The sequence below is a fragment of the Homo sapiens genome, chromosome 14 (assembly GCF_000001405.40).
Source record: "Homo sapiens chromosome 14, GRCh38.p14 Primary Assembly".
Classification (NCBI taxonomy): Eukaryota; Metazoa; Chordata; class Mammalia; order Primates; family Hominidae; genus Homo; species Homo sapiens.
This window is the reverse complement of record NC_000014.9, coordinates 63,389,228-63,403,912: the sequence shown is the minus strand read 5'-3', so window position 1 is coordinate 63,403,912 and position 14,685 is coordinate 63,389,228. Positions and strand designations below refer to the sequence as shown.

At 40.9% G+C, this 14,685-nt stretch overlaps 1 protein-coding gene across 9 annotated transcripts in view; it reads left to right on the top strand.

Annotated features, from left to right (window-relative positions):
- The window catches only part of PPP2R5E (protein phosphatase 2 regulatory subunit B'epsilon), a 172,014-nt gene that overhangs the window by 139,465 nt on the left and 17,864 nt on the right, over positions 1-14,685 (top strand). For all 9 annotated transcript variants that reach the window (NR_104104.3, XM_047431543.1, NM_001282179.3 and 6 more), the window contains 6 exons: positions 7,197-7,327; positions 8,628-8,687; positions 9,985-10,093; positions 11,888-11,941; positions 12,046-12,096; positions 14,182-14,301. Coding sequence is in view for 8 of the 9 variants with exons in the window: in XM_047431543.1 (XP_047287499.1) it covers positions 7,197-7,327; positions 8,628-8,687; positions 9,985-10,093; positions 11,888-11,941; positions 12,046-12,096; positions 14,182-14,301 (525 nt within the window). In the remaining variant the exon portion in view is untranslated. The remainder of the gene's footprint in view (positions 1-7,196; positions 7,328-8,627; positions 8,688-9,984; positions 10,094-11,887; positions 11,942-12,045; positions 12,097-14,181; positions 14,302-14,685) is intronic.

The following is a 14,685-nucleotide window of genomic DNA, read 5'->3' as shown; positions in this document are numbered from 1 at the left end:
ACATTTGTTATATCACAAAATTTGAATGAATCACATGATAGATGAGTACTATTGTATACATGTTGTTCATTCCAAGGCACATAATTACATTTGTTTTCTTGTAGAGCTTTTTTTTTTCTTTTTTTAACCCTGGAAAATAGGTGCCTTATTTTTTTACTTGCTTTCCTGTGTATTCATCACTAGTGTGTGCTTTAATTCTCTGAGAGTAACCATACAGCCCTTCTCAGTATGGCCCACATATCAACTAGTCTATCAGTTACTTTTTTTTTTTTTTTCTTGGAGACCTTCTTCCTGGAGCCCTGGTCATCCTGCTCTAATTGGCACTCTGGGCCATCCACACAGTCATCCCAGCACTTCCCTTTGGTGCCCTTCTAGACTGTGTCTTTGCTTGTTTAACTTCTTCTTTGGTGGAGCATATCTTCTAGATTCTTCCTAAGAAAGCATGAATGGGATGTAAGTGTTCTGAGATCACTTGTCTGAAAACGTCTTTATTCTGCCTACATTTTTTTTTTTTTTTTTTTTTTTGAGACAGACTCTCGCTTTGTCGCCCAGGCTGGAGTGTAGTGGCACGATCTTGGCTCACTGCAACTTCCAGCTGCTGGGATTACAGGTGTATGCCACCACGCCAGACTAATTTTTGTATTTTCAGTAGAGACAGGGTTTCACCATGTTAGCCCATGTTGGTCTCAAATTTCTGACCTCAAGTGATCAGCCCGCCTTCGTCTTCCAAAGTGCTGGGATTACAGGCGTGAGCCACTGTGCCCTGCCTGCCTACATACTTTATTGACATTTTGGCTAAGTGTAAATTTGGAACTTTCCCAGATGTTTTAAGGAATTGATCCATTGTTTTCCAGCTTCCAGTGTGGGTATTAAGAAGGCCTGCACCAGGTGAATGCCTTATCCTTTATAATGACCTGTCTTCTTTGTATCTTCTTTGAGATCTTCTCTTTGTCTCCACATCCAGAAAGTGATGTGCTTTGGTGTGGATCTTTGTTCATTTATTGTGCAGAACACTTAATGGACCATATCTATATTGACATTGATGACTTTTTTTTTGTTGGAAATTGAATTGAATTATTCTTCAGATAATTTCCTTCTCTTCATTTTCTGTTTTTCTGTCTCCATGTCTTTCTGGATTGCTATTATGTATTGGATCTTCTGGTTTTTAAAATCTTCTTCTATATATTATCTCTGTTTTTTGGTTATATGCTCTGGGGTAGAGTTGCTCATTTTAATGTTCTAGTGCTTCTGCTAAAATTTTTATTTATTATATGTTGAACTTCTAAAAGCTTTTAAAAAATTTCCTGAATATCCACCTGAATAATAGCACTGTTTTATTTCAAGGATCCAGCATATTTGTTTATCTTTGAAGATGTTAATAGTTTCCTTCTTGCAATTTTTTTTGGTACTCCTAGCATTGTGCCTGTTTCCTCTGAGTTCCTTATAATTGTTTGTTGTGGTCTTTTATGTTAAAATATCTGGTGATCTTTGACTTCATAGTCATAATTACATGTTAGTCTACCGAAAAGTTGCTTAGAACTTGTGTATGTTACCGTGTGCACATGTGTGTTTATATTTGCATGGTGACACTTGGCAACTGGTGACTTTGAATGGCATAACTGGTCAGGGACCTTGCCATTTCATTAGGAAACCCTCAGCTGTTAGCATATCTGTAGGTCTTTCCTCTTGAGGCTGTCAGTTTCTTCCAAAAGGGACTTTCTGATCTTCTGACTTATACAGAATTGGGAGCCTGGTCAGGGAAGAAAGCTGGCAAATATGTCACTTTTAGGTATGCAGAGTTTTATTTCATCCCATTATTTCCAATAAGTGCTTTACTTAACGTGTATGATGTCTCCAAGATTAGATACTTACTCATTCTCTCCAGACTTACATTGTAAATCATCAATACACCACATGGGATAGGGATCTGGGGGGTCTTCTACAGACTTTCAACCAGTCCTCCTGTTTTTAGCTATTTCTCACACCCTTACCATCAAATATATCTGGTGCCTTTAGTTTTTAAGCCTTGTAAGGGTTCCGTGGTGTGAACTGGCCTGCTTCTCGTTGGCTTTCTTCCCTGCTTGCAGAATGGAAAAACACTTAGCAGACTGGAGAAAGAGGAAACTTAAGATAGTTACCTCTTGTCATCCACTTCCATCTTTGAGAAGTCTACAAATAAGTCTAAATTTTCTCTCCAGTCCTGTCTATGCCAAGGCTTTCTTCTATTCTTATTCTTTCACTGTCATTTTAGGGAGGATTCAAGAGGAGAGAGGTTCAATCCCCCTGCCTAGCTGGAAGACCCTTACAGCCCTTTTTCATTTCACTCTTCTCATTTCATTGTAGATTTATGAAGTTCAAAGAAAGGTTATTTGGCTAAATCACTATGTAGTTTAACCCTATTTGTGAGCTTCAAGAAGGCTGGTTTTTGTAAACCTGGAGTTAGTATGTTGACAGGTCTGTCTTTGCTCTGTAATCACCTTGGAAACGCTCCAGCTTCTTAACTTCTTTTCTTTGACTACAAGCTACCTGTTATATTAGGGATGGCACAGTCCACTTAGGCATTTACAGGTGTGGGATTATATTTCTTTTTTGTGTGGGAGTGATTGGGACTATAGATATGACTAAGCACACTCATATTATTTTGTTTTGGAAATCAGAGCTCATCAGAGTTCATCCTACCCCCCCTTGTTTTGGCCTGTGCACTATTATATTTCTCTCTCATACATCATAAAATCATCAAAAGCATGTTCTCTACAGAGAAGCAGAAAAATAGTTTAATACTGCAATTCATCTTTCTCATAGAATATGATACATTTAATATTTGTGGCTTTGTAAATATCTAAAGTTAGGCACTCGGCAATGCATTTTGTTGAGAGCCTAATGAAAACATCAAACATTTCTTGCTTAATTATTGTGTATTCATTAAACTCAAGATTAACAGTATACAAGGAAGGTTGATTCAAGTTTTGCTAATACTACACACCCTCAAACCTTCTCTTATGTTGGTTACAAGTTATTCATTAAAGCCTTTTGAAACACTTAAAAGTAGAAACGAAATTTAAAAAATAAAACTTACAAGGTTAATTATTTCTATTAACCTTGGAATGGGAATGGGTGGATGGGTGGATTGGGTAGGTGGATTAGAGGTCTTATGTCATTTGGAACATGTTATAGATAAAGAGATACTGAGTCTATATGGGGCCTTTTTTTTTTGGCTGGTTGGGGCCACATGCCTTTCTTTCCTAGATAGAATGTTTTCCTGTGGAAATGTATTAACTTGCCCATTACCTCCCCTGATGGGCTCCAAAATTGTTCAACAATGTGTATGTCCAGCAATGAGGACCATCGCTGGCACATAGAAAGAACTCAGTACGTATGTATTTATTGTATTGCTGAATGGGCAGAGAGCTGTAGTTAACAACATCTTCTGTTTGGATAGGCTGCTAGGAAAAGCATGTACTATTGAACCTGTGAGGAGCACTCATATCCCACTTCTAACTCCTCATTTCTTCATCGGTCAGCCTGGATGTCTCTTCCTTTAGAAGCCTTTGCTGATCACTCCACTTCTTCCAAATACAGTAGATGTGTCTGCTGTGTATTTATACAACATCCTGAACTACTTAACATGCTGTTTATTTACTTGTTTGTATTCCCCATTAGAATAGGCTCTGAGAAAGCAAAGACTGTATCTGTCTTGCTTATCATTGTATCCCTGACAGCTCGCCCACTGGCTGGCTTTTAATAAGCACACCATAAATATTTACTTGAAATACTCATTTTTAAAATGAACAGATGAATGAATGATAGATGGATGGTGGATGGCATTATGTAGCTAAAAATTGTGTCCTGTCTCTACCTATTTTTGAAGACCATCCTTTAGTTTGCGTTTCCTGCCATGTTTGAGGGGCCTTTTTTTGGTCCATAACTCTTGTCTTTTATTCAAATTAAAACACCGAACAAAAGCACATTCGATTATTGACCATGAGGTTTTTATTCTGCTGTCAGTGTCAACCTCATGTCTAAATCACCTGAGGTCAAACTTACATATATCTGGATAGCCTTTTTGATGACGATGGTAGTCTAATTTGTGTGTTATGTGCTCTTGAAATGTTTTGCTGTAAAGACACTAGAACTGAATTTTGCTTTATTGCAATGATGATGAATGTTAAAAAAAACAACTCAGTAACATTCAAACCAATTTCCAAGTTTGTTCTTCAGCCAGAGGAACTTGCACACTGACTTTTTGTAAAGGTAGCAGATTTATTGTGTTGTAATTCATACACCATAAAATTCACCATTTTAAAGTTTCCAATTTAGTGGTTTTTAGTATGTTTACAGAGTCATGCAACCATCACCACAGTATCATTGCAGGATGTTTTTATCATCCCTCAAAGAAATCCAGACCCACAGGAGGCTGAAGCAGGAGAATCGCTTGAACCCGGAAGGCGGAGGTTTCAGTAAGCCGAGATAGCGCCACTGCACTCCAGCCTAGTGACAGAGCAAGACTCTGTCTCAAAAAAAAAAAAAAAAAAAAAAAAAAAAAAAAGAAAGAAATCCAGACCTATTAGTAGCCACTCCCCATTCTACTTTCTGTCACTATGGATTTGCCTATTCTGCTTATTTCACATAAATGGAGTCATACATTGTATGGCCTTCTGTGTCTGGTTTCTTTTACTTACTTAGCATGATGTTTGAAAGATTCATTGATGTTGTAACATGTATCAGTTACTTTGTTCCTTTTTATGGCTGAATAATATTCCATGGCATCCCATTTTGTTTATCAGTTGACGGATATTTGGGTTGTTTCAGTTTTTAGCTATTATGAATATTGCTCCCATGAACATCTGTGTACAAGTTTTTGTGTGGACATGTGTTTTCGGTTCTGCTGGATATATACATGAAAGTGGAATCGCTTAGTCATATAGTAACTCTGTGGGAGATTTAAGGAACTGCCAAACTGTTTTCTGAAATAGCTGCACCATTTTACATTCTTACCAACAATGTATGAGGGTTCCAGTTTCTCCATATCCTCGCCAACACTTTTTATTATCCCTCTTTTTCATTATAGCCATCCAATGAGTATCTCTTTGTTGGTTGGGTTTTCTTTTCTTTTCTTTTTTTCTGAGATGGAGTCTTCCTCTGTTGCCTAGGCTGTAGTGCAGCAGCGCGATCTCGGCTCACTGCAAACTCCACCTCCCAGGTTCAAGCAATTCTTCTGCCTCAGCCTCCCGAATACCTGGGATTACAGGCATGTGCCAGCACGCCTGGCTAATTTTTGTATTTTTAGTGGAGACAGGATTTCACCATGTTGGCCAGGCTGATCTCAAACCCCTGACCTCGTGATCTACCCCCTCGGCCTCCAAAAGTGCTAGGATTACAGGCGTGAGCCAGGGTTTGCTTTTCTGTAATGATCAATAAAATAGAGCACTTTTCATGGTTTATTGACCATTCTTGTTGAAAATCAGTTGACCATAAATGTGAGGGCTTACTTTTGGGCTCTTAATTCTATTCCATTAATCTGTATGTCTGTCTTTATGCCAGTACCACACTGTCTTGGTATTTTGGACTAAGTTTTGAAATAGAGAAGTGTGAATCTTTCAAGTTTTGTTTCCCTCAAGAGTATTTTGGCTCTTCTGGTTCTCTTGCATTTCCATATGAATTTTAGGATCAACTTGTCAATGATACAAAAACAAAGCAGCTAGAACTTTTGATAGAGATTGAGTTGAATCTGTTGTGCTCACTGGCATTTGGCTGAAACTTTAGCTTGTTACCTCTTTTGGACTAGTTGCGTGGACCTCATTTTGAGCATGTAGATGTGATGTTATCAGGATTTGGTTATTAACTTTAGATTACAAATGTTTGGGAACTTAAACATGTTATTCACAGCCAGGCATGGTGGCTCACACCTCTAATCCCAGCACTTTGGGAGGCTGAGGTGGGTGGATCACCTGAGTTCTGGAGTTTGAGACTAGCCTGACCAATATGGTGAAACCCTGTCTCTGCTAAAAATACAAAAAATTAGCTGGGCACGGTGGTAGGTGCCTTTAGTCCCAGCTACTCAGGAGGCTGAGACAGGAGAATTGCTTGCTTGAACACAGGAGGCGGAGGTTGCAGTGAGCTGAGATCGTGCCACTGCACTCCAGCCTGGGCAACAGAGCAATACTCCATCTCAAAAAAAAAAAAAAAAAGTTATTCACATATAACATACAACAGAAATAATCAATGTTCACTTCGTTGACTATTTACAGAGTGAGCACACCTACATAACAAGAGTCTGGATCTAAAAAGGACCATTGCCAGTATCATTGAGACATTTTGATGTTTGTTTTGATTCAGGTTTTTTCATTTTCCTAGATGTTCTAGTAGAGCTGAAGGCTTATCCTTTTTTTTTTTTTTTTTTTTTTTTTTTTAAAGACCGAATCTTGCTCTATGGCCCAGGCTGGAGTGCAATGGCGCGATCGCAGCTCACTGTAACCTCTGCCTCCTGGGTTCAGGTGATTCTCCTGCCTCAGCCTTCTGAGTAGCTGGGATTACAGGTGCCCGCCACCACACCTGGCTAATTTTTGTATTTTTACTAGAGACGGGGTTTCACCATGTTGGCCAGGCTGGTCTTAAACTCCTGACCTCAGGTGATGCGCCTGCCTTGGCCTCCCCAGGTGCTGGGATTACAGGCATGAGTCACCACAGGCAGTCAGCTTATTTTAACTGCATATTTGGAATATCAGTAGGTAGCATAGTGCAGTGGTTGAGCTACGGACTTTTGGCCTCAACTGCTGGGGTTCAAATTCTAGCTTTACCACCTATTAGCTGTGAGACCGTGGGCACGTTACTTAACCCTATGTGCCCCAGTTTCCTCTTCTGTAAAAGGGGGACAAAACTATCTCATTGGGAGGATTAATATGTAGATTGCTTGGAAAATTGCCTGATGATCACAGTAAGTGCCATATGTGTATTAGCTATTATTCATATTATTACTTTTATTGTTGTTATTTTGTATTTGTATTTCTTTAGTGGAATATAAGCTCCTTGTCTGACTTGTTTATCATGATATGCCCAAAGACTAGCACTGTGCTTGGCACATAATAGATATTCAACACATTTTTTGAGGAAGGAAGAAGGGGATTTTAAATAATAGAATTCCTAAATCCTTTTCTGAAACCGCCTTTGACAGCTATAATGTCTTTCATTTACAACAGCTTCTGGAGCTATTTGACAGCGAAGACCCTCGGGAACGGGACTACTTAAAAACAGTCTTACACAGAATTTATGGCAAGTTTCTTGGTCTTAGAGCATTTATCCGAAAACAGATTAACAATATTTTTCTAAGGTAAGTGGAGTGTGATGGGGGAAGAAGGAGAAGCAAAGTTGGTGTTTTTATGAGTATTAAGTAAATCTCAAATATCTGAAAACGGTGTACTGACTTCTCTTTCTCCCTTTCTGCCTGCCTTCCTTCATTCTACTGACTCTCCTGCCTCTTCCTCTACCCCCTCCCCCTCCTCTCCTCCCCCATCTTCTCCTCTCCTCCCCCATCTTCTCCTCTCCTCCCCCATCTTCTCCTCCCACCCTCCTCTTCCTCCTCTTTTCCTCTTCCTCTCCCTCCTCCCCCCACTGCTTCTTCTCTATCCCTCCTCTCCCCCTACTTTCCCCCTCCTCTTCCCTCTCCCCTGCTTTTCTCCTCCCCCTTCTCCTCCTCCCCCATCTCCTCCTCCTCTCCTCTTTTCCTCTCCTCTCTCCTCCTCCTCCTCTATCCCCTGTCCTCCTCCTTTCTCCCTCCCTCTCCTCCTCTCCTCCCCGCTCTCCTCCTCTCCTGCCCCCTCCCCCTTCTCCTCTTTTCCTCCCTCTCCTCCTCTCTTCCCCCACCTCTCCCTCCCCCATCTTCCCCCTCCCCTCTCTTCCCCCCTTCTCCTCTCCTCCCCCGTCTCTTCCCTCCTTTTCTCCCCCTCCCCCTTCTCCTCCTCTTCTCCTCCCTGTCCTCCTCTCTTCCCCCACCTCTCCCTCCCCCATCTTCCCGCTCCCCTCCTCTCTTCCCCCCTTCTCCTCTCCTCCCCGACTCCTCTCTTCCCTCCTTTTCTCCCCCTCCCCCTCCTCCTCCTCTCCTCCTCCCTCTCCTCCTCTCTTCCCCCCATCTCTCCCCCGTCTCCTCCTCTCTTCCCCCCTCCTCCTCCCTTTTCCCTCTGCTCCTCCTCCCTTCCACCCTCTCCTCCCCCCTCTTCTCCCCTCTCTCCTCCGCTCTTCCCTCCTCTCCTCCCCCTCTCTCCCCATCTTCTCCTCCCTCTCCTCTCTTCCCCCATCTCTCCCCCATCTCCTCTCTTCCCCTCTCTCCTCCTCTCTTCCCTCCTCTCCTCCTCTCTTCCCTCCTCTCCTCCTCTCTTCCCTCCTCTCCTCCTCCTCTCTTCCCTCCTCTCCTCCTCCTCTCTTCCCCCCTCCTCTCCTCCTCCTCTCTTCCCCCCTCCTCCTCCTCCTTCTCTCTTCCCCCTTGTCCTCCCTCTCCTCCTCTCTTCCCCGCTCTCCTCCTCCTCCTCCTCTTCTCCTCCTCCTCCCCCTTCTCCTCCTCCTCCTCCTCTTTTTATCCCTTCCTTCTCCTCCTCCTCTCCTCCTTTCTCCTCCCTTTTCTCCTCTTCTCTCAGGTTTGTTTATGAAACAGAACACTTCAATGGTGTAGCTGAACTGCTGGAAATATTAGGAAGGTGAGCACGGTTTTTCTAATTGCTAATCTCAGATGAATATTATTTTAAAAATTAGGTTCAGGTGGCACCAAGAGATGCTCACCTAGTTCTCTTGCTGTATGTACATTGGGTCTCTCTCATTTGTGCCTATTAGCATATTTTCCAGCTGACTCTACAAGACACAATTTCCTGTTCCCCTTGTTCCACAAGTATGCATTGCCATTTCCACTGGAATGACTGAAAGAGCTGACAGTTCATTCATTACTAGAAAGATGGTACATCTAATTGTGGTCAGGCTAGTTACTCCAAAACATCTTATTCTCATTAGTTTTTAGGCTATCTGGTCCTTTGCCTTATCTGTTGAAAGCAAGTTTATAATAAATTGGAAAGATTGCCATTTTCAAAGGAGTTGTGTATCCAGGTATAGTCCTTGAACAGCTGCAGCCTGGAGTAGTGGAATGAATTGGAAAGAGCTGTGGTGTAAGTTTCTACACACAAGGGAGGATAATGTAGCTGGACAATATGATTACTTAATCTTTTCTCCTAATATGAAGAGAAAAAGAAGGTGGAGTCACATGGCTTTCTCTCAGTGATTTCCCTAGGCTGGGCAGAGGTTTCAGGAATGAGAAGGAATGATGTCTGGAAATGGAAAAGGTCATATTTAAGGCGGAAGCAAGCAAGGCGGGCCATTATTTGGAGAAGGAAAAGGGAGGGAAAATAAAGGGTTTTGATAAAGAGCTTTTGGAAACCATCTGACTAATTTTAGGAGCACAGGAGCCTTTGTTGGGTGACCAGAAGCAAATTTTCTTCTCTTAAATTTCCTTCCAACTTTTTGTATTCCTTGAAGTCATTAAGAAATCCTGGCTGGGTGTGGTGGCTCACGCCTATTATCCCAGCACTTTGGGAGGCCAAGGTGGGCAGATCATTTGCAGTTAAGAGTTCTAGACCAGTCTGGACAATATGGTGAAACTCCTTCTCTACTAAAAATACAAAAAAATTAGCCAGGCATGGTGGTGGGTGCCTGTAATCCCAGCTACTTGGGAGGCCTGAGGCATAGGAATAGCTTGAATCCCGGAGGCGAAGGTTGCAGTGAGCTGAGATTGGGCCACTGCACTCCAGCCTGGGCAATAGAGCAAGATGACTCTGTCTCAAAAAAAAAAAAAAAAAAAAAAAAAAGGAAATTCTGAATGCCACTGGGGTGGGTATTATGTTGTTTTGTACAAACAAACTGATTAAGTTTAATTAATATCACAAGAACAGTTTGTCTCAGTTCAACTTGTGGTAACATTGCTAATTTGTGTCTCTTTTTTCTCCCTAGTATTATCAATGGCTTTGCTTTACCTCTTAAGGCAGAACACAAACAGTTTCTGGTGAAAGTATTGATCCCTTTACACACTGTCAGGAGCTTATCACTCTTCCATGCACAGGTAGGAGGATTTTGTACAACTACTTTTAGAAGCAAAATAAAAAGTTTGCAAACTCGTTTTTTTGATATTGATATAACCTTCATTTTGTTTTTTTGGTTTTTGTTTTTTGAGACGGAGTCTTGCTCTGCCGCCCAGGCTGGAGTGCAGTGGGACAGTCTTGGCTCACTGCAGCCTCCACCTCCCGGGTTCAAGCAATTCTTCTGCCTCAGCCTCCCGAGTAGCTGTGACTACAAGCGCACGCCACCATGCCCAGCTAATTTTTGTATTTTTAGTAGAGACGGGGTTTTACCATGTTGGCCAAGATGGTCTGGGTCTTCTGACCTCATGATCCGCCCACCTTGGCCTCCCAAAGTGCTGGGATTACAGAGGTGTGAGCCACGGCGCCGGGCCTATCGCCTTCATTCCCAAAGGAAAGAGACTTACTTAAGTTTAAAATACTCCCCGAGGGAAATAAAAATGTATGCATTTTTTTTCTATGCACAGTAGAATCATGGAAATATTTTTAAAGTGGGAGGAACCCTTGTTTGGTCATTTTATTTTACAGAGAACTTATATGACTTTCCCAAGTGCACACAATAACATACTGAACCTATTACATATAATAAAATGCACAGGAGCTTAGCAGATGTAGATCTTTGGACTATGTAATCATGTTTTAATGTTCTTGAATATTTTGTTCCATCCTACTTTGCGTTAGTCTATCAGTTGCCCTTTTTGCCTCCTGTTCTAGGTCACTCACCATGTCTTTATCACTTTCTACACACAAGCACTCTCACAAGTAAACAAATCAATCAGTATTTTCACATTTTTTTTTTCCTTTAAGCCTTCATCACTTTAAAAAGCATACCCTGTCTTGTCCCCATTCTAATTTTTGTGCTAACACTGCCTTGCATGGTCACCATGTCACTGGGGGTAGATAAGTTATTGGGTAGTATTTTAAATTTTGGATAGGAAGATTTTAAATACTGCCAGACTCTGACTCCCTCTTCCCCCCATTGGGAAGGTTTTGAGTTTGCATAAAAACGTGACACATTTTTCTAAGCACTGTTCCTCTTTAAATGTGAAATTCTCTATTTCGAGGAAAAATTAATCCATATGTTTCTAATTTAGAACACCATCAAAATGTTCTTTTGCGAGGGTGGTTTTCTTGTCCAAGAATCTTTACAAGCCCTTTTACAAATCTTGCCTTTGATTTTTGAAATGGGATATCATATTTCATGATTATTATTTTAAACAATCTTACTTAGATGTGTTAGTACCAGATGTAGAACTATTCTTACATTTCTCCAGGTTCTGACTGGCAGGTACAACCTTTTATCTCCTCGTGAAACTGCTTTAGTTTGCATGTGCCATTTCAGGCAATTGGCAAAGTTTTTATTAAGTGCTTACTTCCCATAGAGGACTCTTGTGGAACTACAGTAAAACTCAGTACTGTTGATATTAGCAAAGAGAGAAAGGAAGCCCCTGAGATGTAGCTCAAAGTGTATGTAGGTGAGATAATTCCACAATATGCTGAATGTGATGTCTCACCTCTGCTTTTCATTAGCTGCATATTTCATGTCCTAATACTCTTTTTTAAAGAAAAGTTCCCTGGAGCCTTGTTAATATTAGTCTTTGGCTTGAAAAAGTAGTTTCTTATTTTACTTTATATAGATTTTATGATAATTAAAATGAATTGAATGTGAAGTTATTAAAAGCAGTCTGGAAACCTTTTAGGAAGTTTTAATAGTGTATCTTTTGAGCCCTTACTGTATAGAATTTAAAATTTTGCCTTTTATTTTATTTTTTACTCAGCTGGCATATTGTATAGTACAGTTTCTGGAGAAAGATCCTTCACTCACAGAACCAGTAAGTCTTTTTTCCATAATTTCAAAAACTTAAGAAAAATTACCTTTCCCAGAAGTATATATGAAAAAGTTAAATGCCATTTGTTTTTCTCCTTTTCATTTTAGGTTATTAGGGGGTTAATGAAATTTTGGCCTAAAACATGTAGTCAAAAAGAGGTAAGTGCTTACTGTCAGAGAGTGTTCATAGCTTACTGAATATTTTGCTGAGTGCCAAGGATTGGGCTAAGCATGTATAAAACCGCATCATCAGGGCTGGGCGCAGTGGCTCATGCCTGTAATCCCAGCACTTTGGGAGGCCGAGGCGGGCAGATCACCTGAGGTCGGGAGTTCGAGACCAGCCTGACCAACATGGAGAAACCCTATCTCTACTAAAAATACAAAATTAGCCAGGCGTGGTGGCGCATGCCTGTAGTCCCAGCTACCCGGGAGGCTGAGGCAGGAGAATCGCTTGAACCCGGGAGGCAGAAGTTTGCAGTGAGCCGAGATGGTGCCATTGCACTCCAGCCTGGGCAACAAGAGTGAACTCTGTCTCAAAAACAAAACAAAACAAAACAAAACAAAACAAAACAAAGCAAAACTGCATCATCTCATTTAAACCTCATTGTAACTCTATAAGGCAGGGCTGTCAGAACTCTTGTTTTACTAGTTATGAAACTGTAGAGAGGTTAAATAGCCTGCCCCAGTACACTAAGTAAGTACAGATGATTAGGCCAGAACTCGCCTCCTTGACTCCTAAACCCTGTCTTTTTATTCACTGTGCTCTTCAGCCTCGCTAAGCCCAGGCCAGGCCCCAATCAGGTGTCCAGTTGTCTAGCTTTGTTGATGTTCCCTTCCGAGTGGCCCCCTTCATAATATGAAGGTTTTGCTGTCACTGTACATAGACGCTAGAGCAGCCTGCCCAAATACTCATTTTAAAGCATGGTATAGGTGGATCTTGCTGTGTCATCTTAGAATAGACAACAGACCTTTAGTTTCAGCCATTCACAAATGACCCTGGGGGGTTCAGGCCTACAATCATTTGTACCTTTGCTGAGAATTCACCAGGCATGTGCTACTTTGTGAGGTTGTTATGGGGTAGTGCATGAGTTTCTTAGCTGGAGTTGAGCCTAACTGAGCACCAGATCTGCAGCCATTCTTCTGGAAGGTTAGCAACCATGTGGAAAATGGCTCAGAAAAAAAGATCAGCTGTTAGTTTTATATTTGGTTAAAACTTTGGGAGAAATTCCATATACATATTAACAAATGGCAAGGGTCTACTATATTTTACTTTTAGCAGAAACGCCTTCCTTCTCAAATCAGCTTCAATTCTCCAAACTCTATTTTAATTTCAGAAAGTCATTTAATTTCTTAAAATCTGTTAGATAAAATTGAACTGTGCATTGCTACCCAGATACATCTCAAAATATGAAGGCATTGTTATTTTTCATATTTTGATTGCTCACTTTATTTTTTCAAAGTAATTATTTTTTCATAGCTAAATACGTAAACTGGTTTTTATTTATCTGTCATTTTCCCATTATATTTAAAACAATTGACTCTACTGCAGATTTGGCTCCATATTGTGATCTAAAAACTCTGTTTCTTGCGGCACCCGGTGCTGAGTTCACAAGATTCACTGTGCTTTGTAGAGAGCAAGCGTGTGTGTGTGTGTGTGTGTGTGTGTGTGTGTGTGTGTGTCGAGAATGCGTCAGTGCATGCTTATGGGTTTGAAGTGGCACCTGCATGTGAGTGAGTCTGCTCATTTGTGTTTCTTGAACTTTTTGTTGTATTAATGAGTGCGTTCTAGAGCATTGAGCATGTAGCAGGGGCTGTACGTATTTGGCAAATAACCACATTTGAACTTTTGCCTCTTCCATTTAGGAGGGCCACCTTCTCATTGTTTTTTTTAAAAAAAAAAGTGTTGTGGAAAGAGAGCTGGATTACTAATAATAGAGAGGAAGGCCCTACGGGGTCAGTTTTGCTTCTCAGGGGCCGGTGCAGTGTGTGAGTGTCCCTCGTTCTATGTAATATATATACCAAGTAGAGTATTTTTTCCAAGTACGTAGAATTTTTCCAAGTACCCTATGGTGAATTCTTTGTGGAACGAACATCTTCTAACATGGGATAATGACTGGTTCATGTATGTTTGGTTTTATGTGTAAATTTTTCTTAAAATAATCCAAACTCTCATTAATCCTCCTTGTTCTTATGGATTTTTTTTCATGATGTGCCTCACATCTTGTATTTTGCTTGTACTTACAGGTCATGTTCCTTGGGGAACTGGAAGAAATATTGGATGTGATTGAACCTTCACAATTTGTTAAAATCCAAGAACCTTTGTTTAAACAAATCGCCAAGTGTGTATCTAGCCCCCATTTTCAGGTTAGTAGTAAAGAGGACATGAGCCAGGGAGCATGAGTTATTTTGGTTAAATTTTATTTGTTTCAAAAGCAATGTAATGGACCCTAGCTACCTATTGTTTATTTGCTATCCCCTCACATGATGATAATTTTAATAGTGGCCAGCTTATCTTGAGCACTTGCTGCCTAACAGCCACAGTAATGGTGCTTTCTCTCCAGTAACTTTAATTCTCCTAACACCCTGCAAGGAGGGCATTATGTTTTTTTTTTAAAGACATACAGATGTGAACACTGAAGCTCAAAGTGGTCAAAAGTATTTCAGATAATTTCTAAATAAGTGGGCTGGTGAGGTTTCTCTAGTGTGTAAGAGAGAATGCTAAATAATGTTTAAGAGGAAAAGGAGAAA